Below are 18,093 nucleotides of genomic sequence, written 5' to 3' on the forward strand. Positions count from 1 at the left end.
TATGTGAGTGCACTAAAGCGAGAGGGGCTCATTTTTGGCGTGTTTTTAGCCTGTTTGGCACAGAGTGAAAGAAGAAAAGAAGAAGAGCCCAGGGCCCAGGAACCTGAGGGTGGGGATCTCATGGTCAGAAAGAGCCCCAGAAGCCAGGTAGCGTGAGGCTAGGGGGGTCCCTGCCAAGTCACCGCAAGACTTGGAGGGGAGGTCATGGTAGAACCCACCCACAGTCTCGGCGTTCCAGGTGTCCCAGCTTGGAGGCGTGCTAAGGCCTCTGTGTCGCATTGGCCAAGGGAACCAATCCCTCACAAGCAGTCTCCCAGTATAGTCAGAAGATCCTGGATTCAAAGCCCAGCTTAGCCAGTGACTCCACCTCTCGGGGCCTCATCTTCTCCATTTGCAAAATGGCAATGATGTAGGATCTATCTTAATGGCTTGTGGCGGGGATTGAATGAGATCGTCCAAAGGAGCCTCGTAGCACAGGGTCAGACGCAGAGTAAGCGGTCGATAGTATAGCAGCCAGCCAGAGTGATGGTGGCAGTGGTGTGTGTGGGTGCATGAATGAGCACACACGTGTGTGTGTGTGTGTGTGATAGATTGATGTTTCAAAGCAGGTGAACCTGGGCTTGAGCCTTCTTATGTGACCTTGAGCAAATATGGTATCTCTTCCTGAGCCTCAGTTTCTTCTCCTGGAAGATGGAGTTAAATCCCAGGTTATTGTGAGGATTAAAGGTGATCACACAGATCAAGAGCCTGGCACAGTGCCTGCCACTGACTGAGGCCCTAAAACATGACAGCAGTGGTGAGTGGGCCAGAATAATTCTATCTTCAGCGATGCCTTCCTTCCACAGCCTGGCAGATGTGCTTGGAGTCGAACTGGTTGAATTCACGTGATACCATCGCACAGTCAGTCCCTGGGAGTTGGGTGAAGAGGGTGGGTGACTCAGGAGGAACAAACAGGACAGGACGTGAAGCCATGCACAGAAGCCTCCTTGCCAAAGCACTGGCAGGGTGGGGGAAGAGGAATCCATTCTGGTGCCCCGGAAGCCTCTGAGGATGGGGCAGAGGAGACAAGCTGGGGTTGGGGGGCTGTGAGGCCTGTCATCTGTGACACAGTCCATATGCCAGGCACCCAGGCAGGGGCTCAGTATATTTTCCCCATTGGTTTCAGTTGGAAACCCTGGAGGGTCGATCTTATCCGCTGGGGAAATCAAGGCACGGAGTAGATAAGCGACCTGGCTTAGATTACACAGCCAGGAAAAGTCCAGGAACGGGTTCCCTTGTCGTGGATGTCTCCTTGGCCAGGCAGGAACGGCCAGCATTTCTAGGGGAACCAGGAACGTGCTGAAGAATGTGTTCCTTGCAAGTTTAAAAACACAAAACGAGTTACATTATTTCTTGGCTTAAAACGTGTCTGCAACCTCCCCTGCCCTCAGGCTAGAGCCCAAGCACCTGGCCTGTCAGCTGTGGGGTCTGGGCCCTGCCACCTTTCCAGCCTCGGGTGGCACTACAGTGACTCTTGCTGTCTCTTCTCTAATGCCAGGTTCCTGGTCCCCTTCCTGGGCTTCAGCCCTCAGAGACCAGCTCCAGGGATCCTCCCCTCCCCACCTCTCTACCTTGGCAAGACCAGGTGCCCAGGTCTCAGCTCTCAATGCACTGGTCCTCGGCCCTTGCAGCAATTCTCACCATATTTGCCTTCTCTGTTGATAGGTCGGCTCTGCAAGGTAGGAGGTGTGTTCTTGCCTTTGCTATGTGTTGGTGGCATCTACACAGTGCCTGGCAAAAAGCAGGTGCTTGAGAGGAAGGACCGAGTGGTGGACAGCCAGGCTGGCATCTGGGCACAAGCAGGGTCCACGGGGAGTTTGGGTCCCACGTGGTTGAGGTCTCAGCTCCACAGCAGGTGCATTGACTGGAAGCAGGATAGTGGGTGGGGCCATTAAGGGAGGCAGGAAAGACAGGGGAGTTTCTGCAAGAAGATTTGCCTGACTTATTTTGAATCTTCTAAAAGCCTTTGTCTTGAGTTCACACTAAAGATTATAAAATAAGTGCCGTCAGGGAATGGAATTCAGGGACAAATGACTTCTCTGGGGAATTCTAGCCCCCAAAGTGCCCTAAGTGGGCACTCTTGTTATCTCAATTTTTCAGAGGAGGAACTTGGGGCTCAGAGAGGGTCTTGGCCAAGCTGAGACCAGAACCTGAGCATGCCTTTCCCATGGAGCCATCGTCCCCTCAGGGTTGGTTGAACTGGAGGAGGAAATGTCAGCCTCACTCCCCAGGACCAGGGACCTTGAACTTGATGCAAAAAAGATTTGTTTGTTGTGATGGTTTTAAGATATGTTTATACATTCTTTAATAGTCTCTTCAGGAGGTGGTTTAATCCTCCTCCCCTTGAGTATGGGCCTAGTGACTCACTTCCAATGAATAGAATATGGCAGATGTGTGTGACTTCCAAGACTAGGTCACAGAAGGCATTGTGGCTTCCTCCTTCTTCTCTTTTGCTTCACTTACTCTGGGGGAAGCCAGCTGCCATGTCATGAGGATACTCAAGCAGTCCTATGGAGAGGCCCACCTGGCAAGGAACTGAGGCCTCCTGCCGATAGCCATGGCAGGGAGCTGTATTGGAAGCAGATCTCTCCCCTCTCCCCGGCCCCAGTCAAGCCTTCAGATGACTGCAGTCCTGCTTGACAGCTAGACTGCAATCTCAGGAGAGACCTGGGTCAAAACCACTCCGTAAGTTGCTTCTGAATTCCTGACCCTGGAAATGATGAAATAATAAACATTTCTTGTTGTTTGTGGGATAATTTGTTATGCGGCAGCAAATAATGAATGCATTCATTTTTGTGGAAATGGCTCAAATCCCATCAACAGTAGATTATGATATAGTCCCAGGATAGAATAGTATACAGCAATGAGAAGGAACAAACCATCACTACAGACAACAGTGTGGATGAAGCTCACAAACATCTTGACCAAAAGAAGCTGCACCAGACAACACATACTGTGTGACTCCGTTCATATAAAATACAAAGACTGGCCAAGCCAATCTATAATAATAGAAATCAGGATAGTGGTTTTCCTTGGGCAGGCCCGGATGGAGTGGCCAGGAGGGGCCGGAAGGGGGTTTCTGAGTGCTTCTTACATGAATGCATTCAGTTTGTGAGAACTCATTGAGTGTAGATTTATGACTTGAACACATGTTTGTATATTAGACCTTACAGAAAAATCTTCCAGTTTGGAATAGGGTGTATGCCGGGTGAAAACTGGGCTGCTCAGGAGTCACATCTGGCTGTAGGATGAACACTGCTTTCGAGGTTATAGGCCTGGAAACCTTTGAGGGAAAGACTAGCATTCAGGTCATGAGATAGAAAGAAAAAGGGTTGGGGTGGCCGTATTGGGACCTCCTAGTCCCCAGGGCCTTGGCTTGAAGTCTTACCTCCTTAGCTCTCTGAGCTGATGGACAGGAAGGGACAAAGGCTCAGCCCCCAACTGGGGTTGGGGTCAGCTGAGGGGGCTTTCCGGGGCAGCAGCGAGGGCAGGGGGAGCCCTGCCTGGCTTTGTGATTCAGGGATTTGCTGTAATCCCAGTCCTTCCCTGCAGCCTGTCTAATCCCCACCCGTGGGGCTGAGCCTTTTCAAGATCTGACTTTGGCCTGAAAGGCTCCCAGAGGGGCCCACATTCCTGCCCACGGCATCCCCGCTCCTAGGAGGAAACTCATCAGGGTCTCTCCCCACCCCGGCATGGGGCTTCTCATCCTTGGGAAAAAGAGACAGTGCTCATAAATCCAGGGAAAGTTAAGATGGCCGTGAGAGAATCTGGAGTGTTTGACCTGCTTCCTTGGAGGAGACGGTGGTCTTTGATGCCTGGGTCCTGGGCCTTGTGCCATCAAGGAAATGGGTGAAGGAGATGCTGGCAAGAATGAAGACCTGTTGGGGGCAGCGGTTAACCACCTCCAAGGCCTGATGTGAGCTTCCTCTTTAACCTCATTGTTCACTTGACAAGCTCCAGCCACCTGTCTTTCGGATCCTAAGGCTCCCCAAGCTGCTTCCTGCCTCAGGACCTTCGTACAGACTTCCCCTTGGCTTGGAGATTCTCTCCCCTGATCCTTGCATGCTGCTCTTGCTTGTAACTGAGATCTCTACTTTGGGAGGCCAAGGTGGGCGGATCGCCTGAGGTCAGGAGTTTGAGACGAGCCTGGCCAACGTCGTGAAACCCTGTCTTCACTAAACAACAACAACAACAACAACAAAAAACAAAAAAACCCAAAAACCAAAAAGAAAAAAACCAACAACAAAACCTAGCTGGGTGTGGTGGTGTGTGCCTGTAATCCCAGCTACTTGGGAGGCTGAGGCAGGAGAATTGCTTGAGCCCAGGAGGCAGAGGTTGCAGTGAGTTGAGATTGCGCCACTGCAGTCCAGCCTGGGTGACAGAGCAAGACTCCGTCTCAATAATAAAAAACAACAACAACAACAAAATAACTGAGATCTCAGCTGCAATGTTACTTCCCCCAAGGCCCCATGGTCCCACTCTGTCATGTCACCCCGTGTCTCAGTTTTATTTCTTGCCTTTCCTTGTCTCCTCCGACTGGAAAGTGAGACCTTGAAGAGCAGGGGCCCCGTCCGCTGGGCTCCTGGCCATAACCCCCTCTAAGAATAATACCCAGTGATTCATGGTTCTCAGTGCATGTGCAGAGTAAGTGAATGAATGAATGGGAAAGGACAGAGTTACTTGAAGAAGAAGGAGAAAAACTTGAAAAGGGATGATCCTGCTCAACTTGTGAATCACAGATATGCTTCCCCTTGACACCAAAAGCTGCCCTGTGAAACCTGTATTATTATCCCATTTTTACAGATGAAAAACTAAGGGGGAAAAGGTTCAATAACCCACCAAGCCCACACAGGCGGTAGACTTGCAGGAAAATAATATTAGGGGCCTTGATTTTCACTCTCATTCTTACACTGAAATTCCCAGCACCCGAAATTTTACTTTTAGATATGCATTCCTTTTGCTTGGACATTGCCCTCTCAAGAACTTTCTTTCTTTCTTTCTTTCTTTTTCTCTTTCTTTTCCTTCCTTTCTTCCTTTCTTTCTTTCTTTCTTTCTTTCTTTCTTTCTTTCTTTCTTTCTTTCTTTCTTTCTTTCTCTTTCTTTCTCTCTCTCTCTCTCTCTTTCTTTCTTTCTTTTTCTTTCTTTCTTTTTATACAGAGTCTCGCTCTGTCGCCCAGGCTGGAGTGCAGTGGCACAATATCCACTCACCGCAACCTCTGCCTCTGGGGTTCAAGCAATTCTGCCTCAGCCTCCCAAGTAGCTGGGATTACAGACACCCGCCACCACACTTGGCCAATGTTTGTATTTGTAGTAGAGGTGGGGTTTCACCATGTTGGCCAGGCTGGTCTTGAACTCCTGACCTCAGGTGATCTGCCCACCTCGGCCTCCCAAAGTGTTGGGATTACAGATGTGTGCCACCACGCCTGGCCAAGAACTTCTTTCTTTCTTCTTACCTTTCCTCTTAGTTAGTAGTGAGAGAATTTTACATGAATGATTATTGTAGATGCATAACATGGTAGTTACAGAAGGAGTGTTGGAGGCTGTGTTCTAACTTGTCCATTTTATAAGTGGAGATACTGAGGCCCAGAAAGCAGAAATAATGTCCTCAAAGTCACCACATAGTAGGTGCTCACTAAGTGCTTATTAATTGAATCAACATAAACACGCACATTACAGAGGAGGCACGACCTGTTTGGAAGTCTCAGTAGCACGGCTTTGACTCCCAGCGCATTCAGCACTTCAGTGTCCGAAAGCACATTCGTGTACGTGATTGCAGGTAAGCACTTTATGATTCCCATTTTACACATGGGGCAAGTGAAGCCCAGAGAGGTAAAGCATCTTGTCCAAGGTCACACAGCAAGTTAAGAGGTAGTGTTGGGATTTGAACTTAGCTCTTGCATAACCTCTGCGGCTTTTTCTGGAACTCTGGCAGAGAGTTCAGCCAGTTATCTCTTGCCCCTTTCCAGGGGTCCCTGGGCTGGTCCATGGGGACATGGACCCAGGGGCCAGGGCTGGCCCTGGGCTTGCTCAGCCAGGATGTGTGTGAGTGTGAGTGTGAGTGCGTGCACATGTGTGAAGTCAGTGGCCTCACCCCTGCTGTTCCTGAGCAAGTTTCTGGCAGCTGCAGCTTATGATTGGTGTGGGGCACAGGCTGCCCAGGAGTGGCTGGGATCCATGTCTGCCCTGCTGCTACCTGCCTCCCCTCCTGGTCGTGGGCAGGCAGGCGAATCTTGTGCTGGGACTTGCCGGAGCCTCCGCATCAGGCGAGGCTGCAGGTACATTCCTCCTCCCTGGAGTCCCGGTGCTGCAGCTGGGGGGCCAGGCACTGACTAATTCTATACAAATTGGCTGATATTCTGAAGAATGCCATTCTGTAAGAAAGCAAATATTTAAATACTCAAGGCTGGGTCCTCTCCACCCCCGCACCCAAGTCCTGTCACCTGCCAAACGCTGGCAGAGCCTCTTGGAGGCATTTTGGGGCTGCACACCTGGCGGCCCCATGGGAGCTTTGTGACCCCCCCCTAGACTGAGCAGGGGTGGCTGGCAGATGGGACACCTGAAGCGGGACCCAGAGGGGGCTGTGCTGAAGCCCACACCAGGCAGCTTTTATCCCAGAGGGGAAGGTGGGGGCTTGATGGGGAATTAGAAACTCTGGTCTGGGCACTTTCCTGTGTATGCTCTTTGGGCCTCAGTTTCTCCATATGTAATATGGCATGTATGAATGGCCAAATAAGTGGTTTTCTAATCTGGTTGGACCCCATCCCAGACAAAATCTGAGAAGGCAGGGCCCAGGACCCTGCATTTTTACCAAGCCCCACGGGGAGCATGATGCAGTTGGTCCAGCCCCCCTGCCTATTCATGCCACACTGGCCAGAGAGGATCGCTGTGAATGGGCTTCAGAAAGGCCTCCCACAGCTTTAGCTGGGGGGAGGGCACAGCCGCCTGTAGAAGGAACAGCATGGCAAGGCCAGGGAAACTGTGAGGCCCTCTGGGAAAGTGGTGGGAGCATAGGTTGTGGGGTGGGGACAAAGGTGGTGTAGCTCAAGGCCTGGGACAGCAATGGCTAAGCAAAAGGAATGCATGTCTAAGAGTAAAATTTCAGGTGCTGGGAATTTCCGTGCATGACTAAGAGTGAAATTCAAGGCCAGCAAGGATTCTTTTCCTGCATGAGGCTTTCCTTATCTCAGCTTCATTCTCAGGCCACCTAATGACTCTCTTCTTTGACCTCCCAGGGCACTGACTCTCTCCCTCTCTTTCTAACTGAACTGTCAGTTACACAAGCTCACATTTTGCATGACTTTATGCATTTCCTTCTTGACAATGATGACAATAGCACTGCCTTCCCTTTGTTACACACTGTGTGTCAGGCCGTGTACTGACCACTTCTCTTGCATTCTCTCTCCTTCTCTTCACAAGAGCCCCATGAAGTGGTTTCTGGTGCTCTCCCCACTTGACAGAAAAGTAAACTGAGGCATAGAGTGAAGTGTCGCTTGACCAGGGGCACCCAGCGAAGATATGAAGAGCTAGGATTTGGCTTTGGGTCTTCCAACCCAGTGGCCTGGACTCGCACCCACCCTCTCCACTGTCGTTGGTGAGTTCCTCCAGGGCAGGGACTGGGGCTGATCTTCTCTGTGCCCTCAGTGCCAGTGTGAGGCGGGGCACATGGTGGACCCTGCCTGGTGCCAACCACATGGATGTGCTGTGAACATTAAATAATTGTCCCCATTTTACAGGTGAGGAAACTGAGGCACAGGAAATGGAATGACTCGTCCAAGGTCCTAGAACAGGCAAAAGGCAGAGGTAGTTGTCTTAAGCTGGGTCCCCCAAAAGCCAACCCCAAGTCAAGGATTTGAGTGCAAACAGTTTACCTGGGAGCTGATTTCCTAATGTCCAGATTGATGAGTCAGGAAATGAGACAGGAAGGGAAAGAGGCCAACAAGAGGAGGGTGTGTCGGTCAGCAGGTGAGCACTCTGGCCAGCTGGGCACAGACCCCTGGGGAAGTCTGGGAGAAGGGACAGAACAAGCCTCAGCATTGCCCCTCCAAAGGGGAGGAAATTGGGTTATTTTTCCTCCACTCTCATCTGTGTTTGGCTGAAGGCTGTTTCAGGCACTTCTGGGCCAGTATGTTCTGCGGCTGTAGAGGCAGAGTCACTGTTTGTTATTTGCAGTGAGAAATGGGATAGTGGGTATAGATGGGCAGTGACAGCTGCTGCCACAGAAATGTTCAAAACGTGGATTTTCAGAACTAAAATCTGTCCATCTATCATTCACACATCCATCCATTCATCCATTCACCCATCCACCCACCTACCCATCCACCCACCCGTCTGTCCACCCACCCATCCATCTACCCATCCACCTACTCACCCCCCCACCCATCCATAGTTTACTTATCTATCCATCTGTGCATCCACCCATCATCCATCCACCCACTCATCTGCCCACCCATCTGTTCATCCGTCCATCCATCCATCCATCCATCCATCCATTCACCCATCCACCCACCTACCCATCCACCCACCTGTCTGTCCACCCACCCATCCATCTACCCATCCACCTACTCACCCACCCACCCATCCATAGTTTATCTATCCATCTGTCCATCCACCCATCATCCATCCACCCACTCATCTGCCCACCCATCTGTTCATCCATCCATCCATCCATCCATCCATCCATCCATCCATCCATTCACCCATCCACCCACCTACCCATCCACCAACCCGTCTGTCCACCCACCCATCCATCTACCCATCCACCCACTCACACACCCACCCATCCATCGTTCACTTATCTATCCATCTGTGCATCCACCCATCATCCACCCACTCATCTGCCCACCCATCTGTTCATCCATTCATCCACCCATCCACCCATCCATCCATCCATCCATTCATCCATCCATCATCCATTCATCCATCCATCTGCCCACTCATATATCCATCCACCCATTCATTCACCCACCCATCCATGTATCCATCCATCCAACCATTCATCCATCCATCTATCCATCCATCCATCATCCACCCATCATCTCCCAGATCCTGGGTCTCAGGCACAGTTCGAGGCCCTGGAGGTCCAGAGATGATTCCCCAGACTTAATTCCAGTCGCCCCCATTCCCTGAAGGGGCTGCATATCTCTGGCGGTTGCTGTGAGGTGACCAGACAACATGGGAATGGGTGGGCTGGCTCTTGTGGCTAGTAGCCCCTGATTCCCAACCCTGGGATGTCTGGGTTCATGGTCCCCCAGCTCCTCAGAGGCTTCCAGAGATAGCTGGTACTGCTGTCATTCCAGGAAGCCCCTCAGAGGAAACACAGTCCCCATTCATGGGCTGGCTGCTTGGAACCGCAGACCCTGTGCTGTCACAGGGATTCACGCAGGCTTTACCTGCCCTCCTGTCCCAGTGCCAGGGCCGGTCTGAGGACATCCAGTGAGTCTTTGCTGAGCAGCTTTGGAAGTTGGGGCAGTGCCATGGATGCTACCAGAACCAAGTTCCCTACTATTCTTCTTGGCACCCAGAAAGACCACCTGCTTGGACAAAGGTTGTCCTGGGCTCACATCCTGTGGAGGAAGGGGACACAGAAAGCCATTATTGAGCACCTAGTGGGTGCCACATACTCAGCATGATGGGTGTCCCTGGACCCTCATGTCAAGTCAACACTAGAGGGAGGCATTCTCACCTCCACTGTACACTCAAGAAAACTGAGGCTCAGAGAGGGAAAGTGCCTTGCTGGAGGCCACACAGCCTGTGAATATCAATGCGGGAATGGTCCCAGGTCCCCTTGACTTGAGTCTCAGCGTCTTTTTCTGACCATGCACCTGGAACCGCTGTTCTAGCCCTGGAGCACTTCCTTCCTCCTTCACCACCATCTTCATCATCACTCAGACTCAGAGAGACTAAATGGCTCTTTCCTTCCCCAGGGACCAGGTTCTAGAGCCCATGACACATGTACACATGGTGGAGGATGCAGGGGCCATGTGGTCACAAACTGTTCTCAGCCAAAGGTCACAAACAGTTCTCTAGTACTCGGAATACAGGTTTGGGGTAGGACAGACAGGTCAGATAGGAGTCACGGTCTTGGCTTTGTTCCTTCCTTACTATGTGACCCTGGGTGAGTTACATCACCTTTCTGGGCTGCTCGATTTTCTCATCAGTAGATGGGGAGAAATATACACCTGTCCTACAAGGAGGATGGAAGGGGGAAATGGGATAAAATGTGCAAAGTGCCTTGTGTTTGTGTCCTGCATTTGTGAGGTCCCCCAAGGCCCCAGGGGTGTGAGGACTCCTGGGGCTCCAGCCTTTGGAAGGGCATGCGGAGAGAAGAGATTGGCCTGGCAGGGCCTCCCCAGGCTGGGCTCAAGTGTGTGCATTTGAGCACGCAGGGCTGGGGCCTGATGACCAGGGGGCAGCCCTGTCACTCCCTGCCCATTCTCACTCCCTGCAGCCCTCTCCTCCCCCTCCATGGGCTGTCTTTACTCAGCCAGCTTCCCCCTGTCCCCCAAGGGCTGGGGGGACGGGTACTCTTGGGTCATCTCTGTATTTTGTAAGGATGATTTAGAAGCAGCCATTTGGTGGTAGGGAGTCCTCAGGCCTGAGTCCCACCAGGGAGGAAGCGCCTTCACCCACCTCTGGCTCCTGTTCCGAAGGCAGCCCCTCGAGCTCCCACCCCGTCTGAGTTCTTCCCATCACCCAGTAGCAAAGTGGGGAAACTGAGCTTGAGACGGGGTGCCTGAGCTCCATAGCCCCTCAGGGCCAAGGCTGGGTGTGGGGGCAAAACGGGCTGTGTCTGCATTGGCCAATGGAGGCCTGGATCCTGGGTGGAGGTGGGGGACCAAGCTGGTCTCAAATCTGGGGGATCACTGGGGTGGCGGCACATCTGGGAGGCATCTCTGTTCATTCAGCAGCCACTGAGCTCTGTGGTCTGCCGCTCCCTGTGCTCCTGGCTGAAGACTCAGAGACGGGGCACACCCTTGAGGAGCCTGCTGTCTTGAGGGGCCCGGAGCTCAGCTCAGGGCCAGGCTCCCAGCTACTCACTGCTGTACTGTGACCCTGGGAACACCCTGAACCTCTGTGCCTGGGTTTTCTTTCCTATCCAGGGCAGCTCTGGGCTAGCCCCTTCCTAGGGGCCTTGAGAAGCTGAAGGCTGGGACCATGGGAAGCGCACAGCACGGTGCTAGCCTAGGGAAGCTCCCGGTAGAGGCTGGCTGCTCTTATTATCATGATTCCAATTGTCACTTGCTATGGGCCAGACACCTTGGATACTGCCCGCGGGGTATGATACACCATGACTCTGAGAGGTGGAGTTACAGGAGGGGAAACTGAGGCTCAGGCTGGAGGTGCCATGCCAAGGGGTCACACATCCAGGAAATGATTGGGCAGGGTGTGAACCCAGTTCTGGCTGCCACACCCCAATGGCTTCCCTGTGCCAGCACCCTGCCTCAGCAGAGCCCTGGGAGGGCGGCTCTGCCCTCGCTGGGCAGCCGTGGCCCCAGTAGGTACCCCCTCCCTTTGGTTCCCAGCCCCCATGATGGATGAGTCTGGGGTTGCTTTCTTTGCGGGCAGCTGCCAAGGCCAAGGGCCCTACCAGGGTCTTCTCTGGCTTATGTCCCCCCTCCCCCACCAGTTTCCCCAGGGGGCCACGCTGCGACTGCCCGGGCCTGCCTGCCCCCTTCTCCCTCATAGCTTACATTCCTCCAGAAGCTTCTCCCCTAGGCGGGCAGGCGGTCAGCACCTCCCCATGCACAGCCCTCCCCGCCCGCTCTGCTCCCCAGCTCTTTGGCAGTGGGTCCCAGAACTTCCTGGCTTCTTCAGCCCCATCCAGCTTCTGCCCGGCTCTCCCGCTCCATCCCAGGGCCTCCCCCAGCTTCTTGTACCCAGACTACCCAGACAGGGCAATGCTTAACCCAGAGAAATGGAGCCCGATGCTTGAGTCAAGGGCATGAGAGGGAACATGCAAGCGATCAGTGAAATGTTCTTCCAAGTATGCCGGGAAGGCATCTGTGCACCTGGTCTCTGCAAAAGGCAATGCCTGACACAGTCTGGCCCCACCAGAAACCTCACCATTCAGCTGACAGACCTTGCCAAGCCTGCCTCCTCATCTGAAAAATGGGGCCCTCAAGATTTAGCTCATAGAGTCGTGAGGGCTCATTGAGATTCTAATCAACGGCATGCTGTCTTCACAGAGGAGGGATTTAAAAAATGATATTATCTAGATTATTGGGGAAACAGTGGGAGTTTGCCAAGAGAAAAGGCATGCAAAAAAGGGTATTCCAAGCAGAAGAAGTGGCTTATGTGAAAGCAAGGAGGTGTGATAGAATAGAAAGAGTAAAATCAGGGGTGAGCTGGAGCTGGCTTGCACCGGCTTGCAGGAGTTGGTTGGTGAATTCTCAGGAATTTGCAAAGCAGCTGTTAGGCACAGCTATCAGCAAAAGTTAAATTTTGTAAATTTGCAATTGAGCAAATCATGTTACAAAGGTAATAAACACTGGATTCACTACTTCTTAATAATTGTACCATTAACTATTCTCTCAATAGATAATAGTGATTTGTACTATTATCTATTCTCTTATAGATTGTACTTTTATCTATTCTCTATCTCTTATAGATTTGTACTATTATCTATTCTCTTATAGATTCTCTCTATAATTGTAATATTATCTATTCTCTTAATAGATAATAGTGATTCCTTTTCACTTCAAGGGTGTAAGAAACTTCTGCTAGCTGCTTCTAAATGTCTGTTTACAAACTCCTCTTAGTGCTAAATTCTTCCACTTTAATGTAGGGTAGAAACGCTACCTATGAAAGAGTGTGCTGTTTCTCAGTTCTCCCCAGCTTCGTGTTCTGGGATGTCATGTTGGTAGCTTCATATTGGTGACGGTGAGAGTATTTGTACCATGGAAACTGGGCAATGCTACAAAACCAGGACCCCTCATACCCCCAGAAGCCTATTATTAAGCATTTATTTCTATTTATTTATTTATTTATTTTTGAGATAGAATCTCACTCTGTCACCCAGGCTGGATTGCAGTGGCGTGATCTTGGCTCACTGCAGCCTCCGCCTCCTGGGTTCAAGTGATTCTCCTGCCTCAGCCTCCCGAGTAGCTGGGATTACAGGCGCCTGCCTCCACACCCAGCTAATTTTCGTAGTTTTAGTAGAGACGGGTTTCGCCGGGTTGGCTAGGCTGGTTTCGAACTCCTGACCTCAAGTGATCTGCCTACCTTGGTCTCCCAAAGTGTTGGGATTACAGGCATGAGCCACCACGCCCTACCCCGTGTGTAAGCATTTACCAGCGCACTGCTGGCTAACAGTTAGCAAGACCTCACTGCATGCCAGGCTATACCGTTGTCAGGCTATACGTGCATTATGTTGCCTCCTCACAGCAGCCCTGTGAGGGTGGCACTGTTATTGTCTCCATTTTACAGTTGTGAAAACTGAGGCACAAGGGAGATGAAGTCATTTGCTCAGAGTCATAATGAGGGGCAGACCTGGGAAGGCTTCCTGGAACGGTGGGTGTCTGGGTGAGAGGGTCGCCGAGACGTGTTCCAAGTCCTGACCTTTCCTTTGTCCTCTTCTTCTCCCCACAAGGAAGGCTGGACTTGACCTGTGATGAGATGGAGGCAGACGGAGCCTCAAAGGGTGGAAAGGGCTCCCTCAGATCCAGCTTTGCCTCCGGCCTCACAGCAGGAAGACCGGGGGCCAAGAACCAGCAGCAAGGGGCTGATTCTGATTCTGCCCGGCCCTCCCTAGGGGGCTGCCCCTGAGTGTCACCTGCCTGCCTGCAGTGGCCCTCCTCAGCCCCTGGTATCCATGGCTCAGATGGTGCCAGCCTGGGCTCCAGTACCAGCCTGGGAGCTACCTCCAGGGTCCACCTGCCAGGCCGAGTTTTGCAACCATCCTGGGCTGCAGCTCGGCAGGATGGCAGCTGGTTTGTACATACGCATGTTTTTGGCACCTTCTCCCATTAGGCTGTGTCATTACTTTGCATCACACATGGCCGACACAGCCCCGCTGGGACCCTGCTGGAGTGATGCCCAGCCCAGGAGCTCCCAGGGTGGGGTCCATGCCTCTTTGGGGCTAATACCCTCCTTCTTAGGTTCTGGGCCATGGGGACCCACAGGTCCCTGAGCCTTAGGTACCCGCTACTGTGTGCAGGAGACTGTCCTCTCCGAGAGGTGGTATGGGGTCGCGGTGAAGAACCTGGGCTGTTCACTCAGACCTGGGAGCTGTGTGGCCTGGGCTGCAGTATCTTCATCTGTAAAATGGGCACAGCACCAGCTCCTTCCATCGTTGCAGGGAGGATGGAATGAAGGTCCTCTGTGTGAAGTCCAGGAAGGACAGTGCGTGGGTGTAGTGAACCTGCTCCTCCCCGTTTTGCAGATGAGGTAACTGAGGCGCAGAAAGGAGAAGCTACTGTCCTGTGGCCCCATAGCCAGGGCTCTGTGGGCACCTTCCTCTCAGCCATGGGAGCCGAAAATTGTTTCCTTTCAAAGAACAAATAGAGCGAGGGGTTCTGCTTTGCTTAAAGTCAATCAGCATTGAACAAGCCTCTAAGCTCCTTAAGCAACTTCCGTGAGTGTGGAAGCCGGCTTAGAGCAAGGGCTCAGAGAGGTTTAGTGACACGTCCCCCGTCACACAGTGGTGAAGGGCTGCTCCTGTAGGTGAAGGGTAGCATGATCCTAAGCCAGGGCTCCAGAGACTCAGATTCTGGCCTTGTTGAGAGGTTTGGGGCAGGTGACATCTCCCTCTGGGCCTCAGTTTCCTTTGAAGCTGACAGTGTGCCAGGCAGAGTTTAGAAAGAGGGTCTGCTGGAAGGGATGATGGGAGAGAGCCTGGTGGGAGAACAAGGGAGTCGGGTGCCTGGGTGGGTCAGGGTGTGTGCACACAGCCTTCCCTGACCCCAGCAAAATATGCCATCAGTGGCAACTTCTTCTTTGCCCTCTTCTCTGCCCTCTTACTTCCCAAAAGACTGCCAGGGAGGCTGGGTGCAGTGGCTAAAGCTTGTAATCGCAGCACTTTGGGAGGCCAAGGCAGGCGGGTCACCTGAGGTCAGGAGTTGAAGACCAGCTTGTCCAACATGGTGAAACCCTGTCTCTATTAAAAATACAAAATTAGCCGGGCGTGGTGGCACATGCTTGTAGTCCCAGGCACTCGGAAGCCTGAGGCAGAAGAATCGCCTGAACCTAAGGCCAAGGTTGCGATTACCCAAGATTGCGCCATTGCACTCCAGCCTGGGTGACAAGAGGGAAACTCCATCTCAGAAAAAAAAAAAGACTGCCAGGAGAAAAATCAAAGTACAAGAGAGAAAAGCAGGTGTACAGGTGTAGAAAGAGAAGTGATGCCTGCGCTGTCTTTGTAATTGCCAGTAAGTGCTCAGTGGAGTCTTTGAGTTCCCTAGTGGCCAAAGTAAAAAGGGATGAGTGGGCCTTTTATCCCACTTCCATGGGAGGATTGCAACAAAGGCCAAGTAAGATCCTAGATATGAAAGTGCTCTGCAAATCACGAGACCCCTGTTGAGGTGGGGTGAGAGTAATGATTGTTAACAATATCTGATTTCACCACTGGGACTGAACCTTAGGCCTTAACCTTATCGTGTCTAACCTGCCGCTGGTGCTGACGGCGTTTCCAGCACTGTCTCCCTCATTTCTTACCTCAAGGTGGATGCTCAGGTGGCACCAGGCCTCTGCTCAAGATGTCCCCTCAGCCTGGAATGCCTGGCTCACTGCTCCTTAGGAGTCTCATCTCCATAGCCCCCTCCTCTGAGACCCTTCACTGGGCCAGGCTGGCTCTGGGGCCCTCATCTGCGCTTCTGCAATTCCATCCTGCACACACCACACTGGATGAAAACCTCCTCCTTTGCCAGATGCCTGGCAGACAGAGTTGGGGGCTCTGTAGATTCTGGCACGGGCCCTGGCACAGTTAGTGCCTAGAAGGGGTTTGCTGAATGAATACATGTTGGTACCGAGCCCACACCCTGTCCTCTGATCTCCACCTGTCCTCATCAAGGCAGAACACCTGGTGTTCTGGGCGTCACCTCCCCAGAAGCTGCCCCGGGCCTGCCTTTGCCCGCCCAGGAGGGTGCGTCCTGACCTCAGAAATCTCCTACCTCCCTGAGCTGCCTAGAGCCCGTAACTGTCAGGGGCCTTGGCGGGAGGGGAGTGGCCAGGGCAAAATCAGCGGATGGGTTGGGGAGCGTGGCTGCGTATGTTTCCACGCATTGGGCCACTGAATTCTTGCCTTTACTCTCTGCATTGGGCCGCTGCATTCTGTATTTACTCTAGTCCACGTCTCCCAGCAACCTCCTGTGGTAGGAGCTATTTTATCTCCATTGTACAGATGTGTAAACTGAGGCTCAGAGGCAAGCGCTCTCCCATGGCTTTGTAATTTGCAACAAGTGGCGGGTAGGCTTCGGGGGTGGTGTCCACCCTCCATATGCTCACAGCCTGAAGGGAGACAAGAAGGAGAGAAAAATAAATCAAGGAGGTGGCTGGGCAGGCCCTGGGGGGTGACAGCCATTTGAGGAGGAGGAGACACGAGCAAGTGTGCACGCCGCCACACGCCTGTGATGACAGACCCACTCGCATGCTCACTAGGCCCCAGCCCACTGTCACCCTCGCGTCTGCTCCCAGGCATCCCACATTTACACACTCATTGTCCCCAGGCTCATCCCTTGTACACCCACGATCCCCACTTCCAGCAGGACACACTGAGACACACTTGCACCCCTCGGCTGGCACATCCTCTTCACCCACACACGTGTGCTTGAACTTGGGCTCACACCCTGAGCAGCCCAGGGAGACTCTACGCTCATACACCATGCAAATGCTCATGGCCTGAGTCCCCTCTCGAGCCACACACCTGCCACCCCTCATGCCCGGCCACCAGCCCAGTCCCAGATGCCACCCCAGGGGTGCCAGGTGCCTCAGGCATCCAGGGTGATCCCCTTCAGGTGGGGCAGATGTTCTCAGCTGCTTGGGCTTGCCCTGAGGGTGGAGATGCGGCCCTGGCCAGGGGTGCAGGGCCAGGCAGCCGCTGGGGCAGAGCCAGGAGGCCCACACCTGTGTGGACGTGCCTGGGGCTGGTGCCAGCACAGTGGCCGCTCCCTCTACCCTCCAGCCTATCGGAGGGCAGCCTATGCCAGGCTGGGGATGCCAGCCTCACATTCTGGGAGTGTCAGAGAAGCCCGAGGAGGGGCACGGTGGGCAGGCCCGGGCCAGGCCCTTCTCTCTGATTTCGAATCTCAGCATCCCAGCTGCGTGACCTCAGGCGACATATTCCAAGCCTCAGCTTTCTGCTCTGCAAAATAGGAATGATGACAACCTTCCCTCGTGGTTGTTGGGAGAACAAGGAAGCTAGTGTGAAATCTAGGGCTTGACTTTCCTGCCGGGGGCTGTCACTCTGTCCCCCAGCTGAAGGCCTACTCCCTAGTCTGTCCCCACCTGTTCTTTTTTGTTTGTTTTGTTTTGTTTTTTTTGAGATGGAGTCTCACTCTGTTGCCCAGGCTGGAGTGCAATGGTGAGATCTCGGCTCACCGCAACCTCTGCCTCCCAGGTTCAAGTGATTGTCCTACCTCAGCCTCTTGAGTAGCTGGGATTACAGGCGCATGCCACCACACCTGGCTAATTTTTGTATTTTTAGGAGAGACAGGGTTTCACCATATTGGCCAGGATGGTCTCGAACTCCTGACCTCAGGTGATCCACCCACTTCGGCCTCCCAAAGTGTTGGGATTACAGGCGTGAGCTACTGTGCCCAGCCTTTAGTTTTTTTGATTTTTTTTTTGAGTCAGAGTCTCACTCTGTTGCTCAGGCTGGATTGCAGTGGCAAGATCTCAGCTCACTGTAACCTCTGCCTCCTGGGTTCAAGCGATTCTCAAGCTTCCGCCTCCTGAGTAGCTGGGATTACAGGTGTCTGCCACCATGCTCGGCTAATTTTTTTTATTTTTTTATTTTTTTATTTTTAGTAGCGACAGAGTTTCACTATGTTGGCCAGGTTGGTTTGGAACTCCTGACCTCAAGCGATCCACCTGCCTCGGTCTCCCAAAGTGCTGGGATTA

General features: G+C 52.7%; 4 annotated features.

Annotated features, from left to right (window-relative positions):
* Nucleotides 6,462-7,095: an enhancer, noted in NCBI's record as "H3K4me1 hESC enhancer chr1:22555405-22556038 (GRCh37/hg19 assembly coordinates)". NCBI's record gives its function as "activates a minimal SCP1, AML or CMV promoter by ChIP-STARR-seq in primed H9 embryonic stem cells {active_cell/tissue: H9 hESC(primed)}" and the evidence as "EXISTENCE:reporter gene assay evidence [ECO:0000049][PMID:30033119]".
* Nucleotides 9,935-10,483: an enhancer, noted in NCBI's record as "H3K4me1 hESC enhancer chr1:22558878-22559426 (GRCh37/hg19 assembly coordinates)". NCBI's record gives its function as "activates a minimal SCP1, AML or CMV promoter by ChIP-STARR-seq in naive H9 embryonic stem cells {active_cell/tissue: H9 hESC(naive)}" and the evidence as "EXISTENCE:reporter gene assay evidence [ECO:0000049][PMID:30033119]".
* Nucleotides 10,484-11,030: an enhancer, noted in NCBI's record as "H3K27ac-H3K4me1 hESC enhancer chr1:22559427-22559973 (GRCh37/hg19 assembly coordinates)". NCBI's record gives its function as "activates a minimal SCP1, AML or CMV promoter by ChIP-STARR-seq in naive H9 embryonic stem cells {active_cell/tissue: H9 hESC(naive)}" and the evidence as "EXISTENCE:reporter gene assay evidence [ECO:0000049][PMID:30033119]".
* Nucleotides 13,902-14,402: an enhancer, noted in NCBI's record as "H3K4me1 hESC enhancer chr1:22562845-22563345 (GRCh37/hg19 assembly coordinates)". NCBI's record gives its function as "activates a minimal SCP1, AML or CMV promoter by ChIP-STARR-seq in naive H9 embryonic stem cells {active_cell/tissue: H9 hESC(naive)}" and the evidence as "EXISTENCE:reporter gene assay evidence [ECO:0000049][PMID:30033119]".

The sequence above is a fragment of the Homo sapiens genome, chromosome 1 (assembly GCF_000001405.40).
Source record: "Homo sapiens chromosome 1, GRCh38.p14 Primary Assembly".
Taxonomy (NCBI): Eukaryota; Metazoa; Chordata; class Mammalia; order Primates; family Hominidae; genus Homo; species Homo sapiens.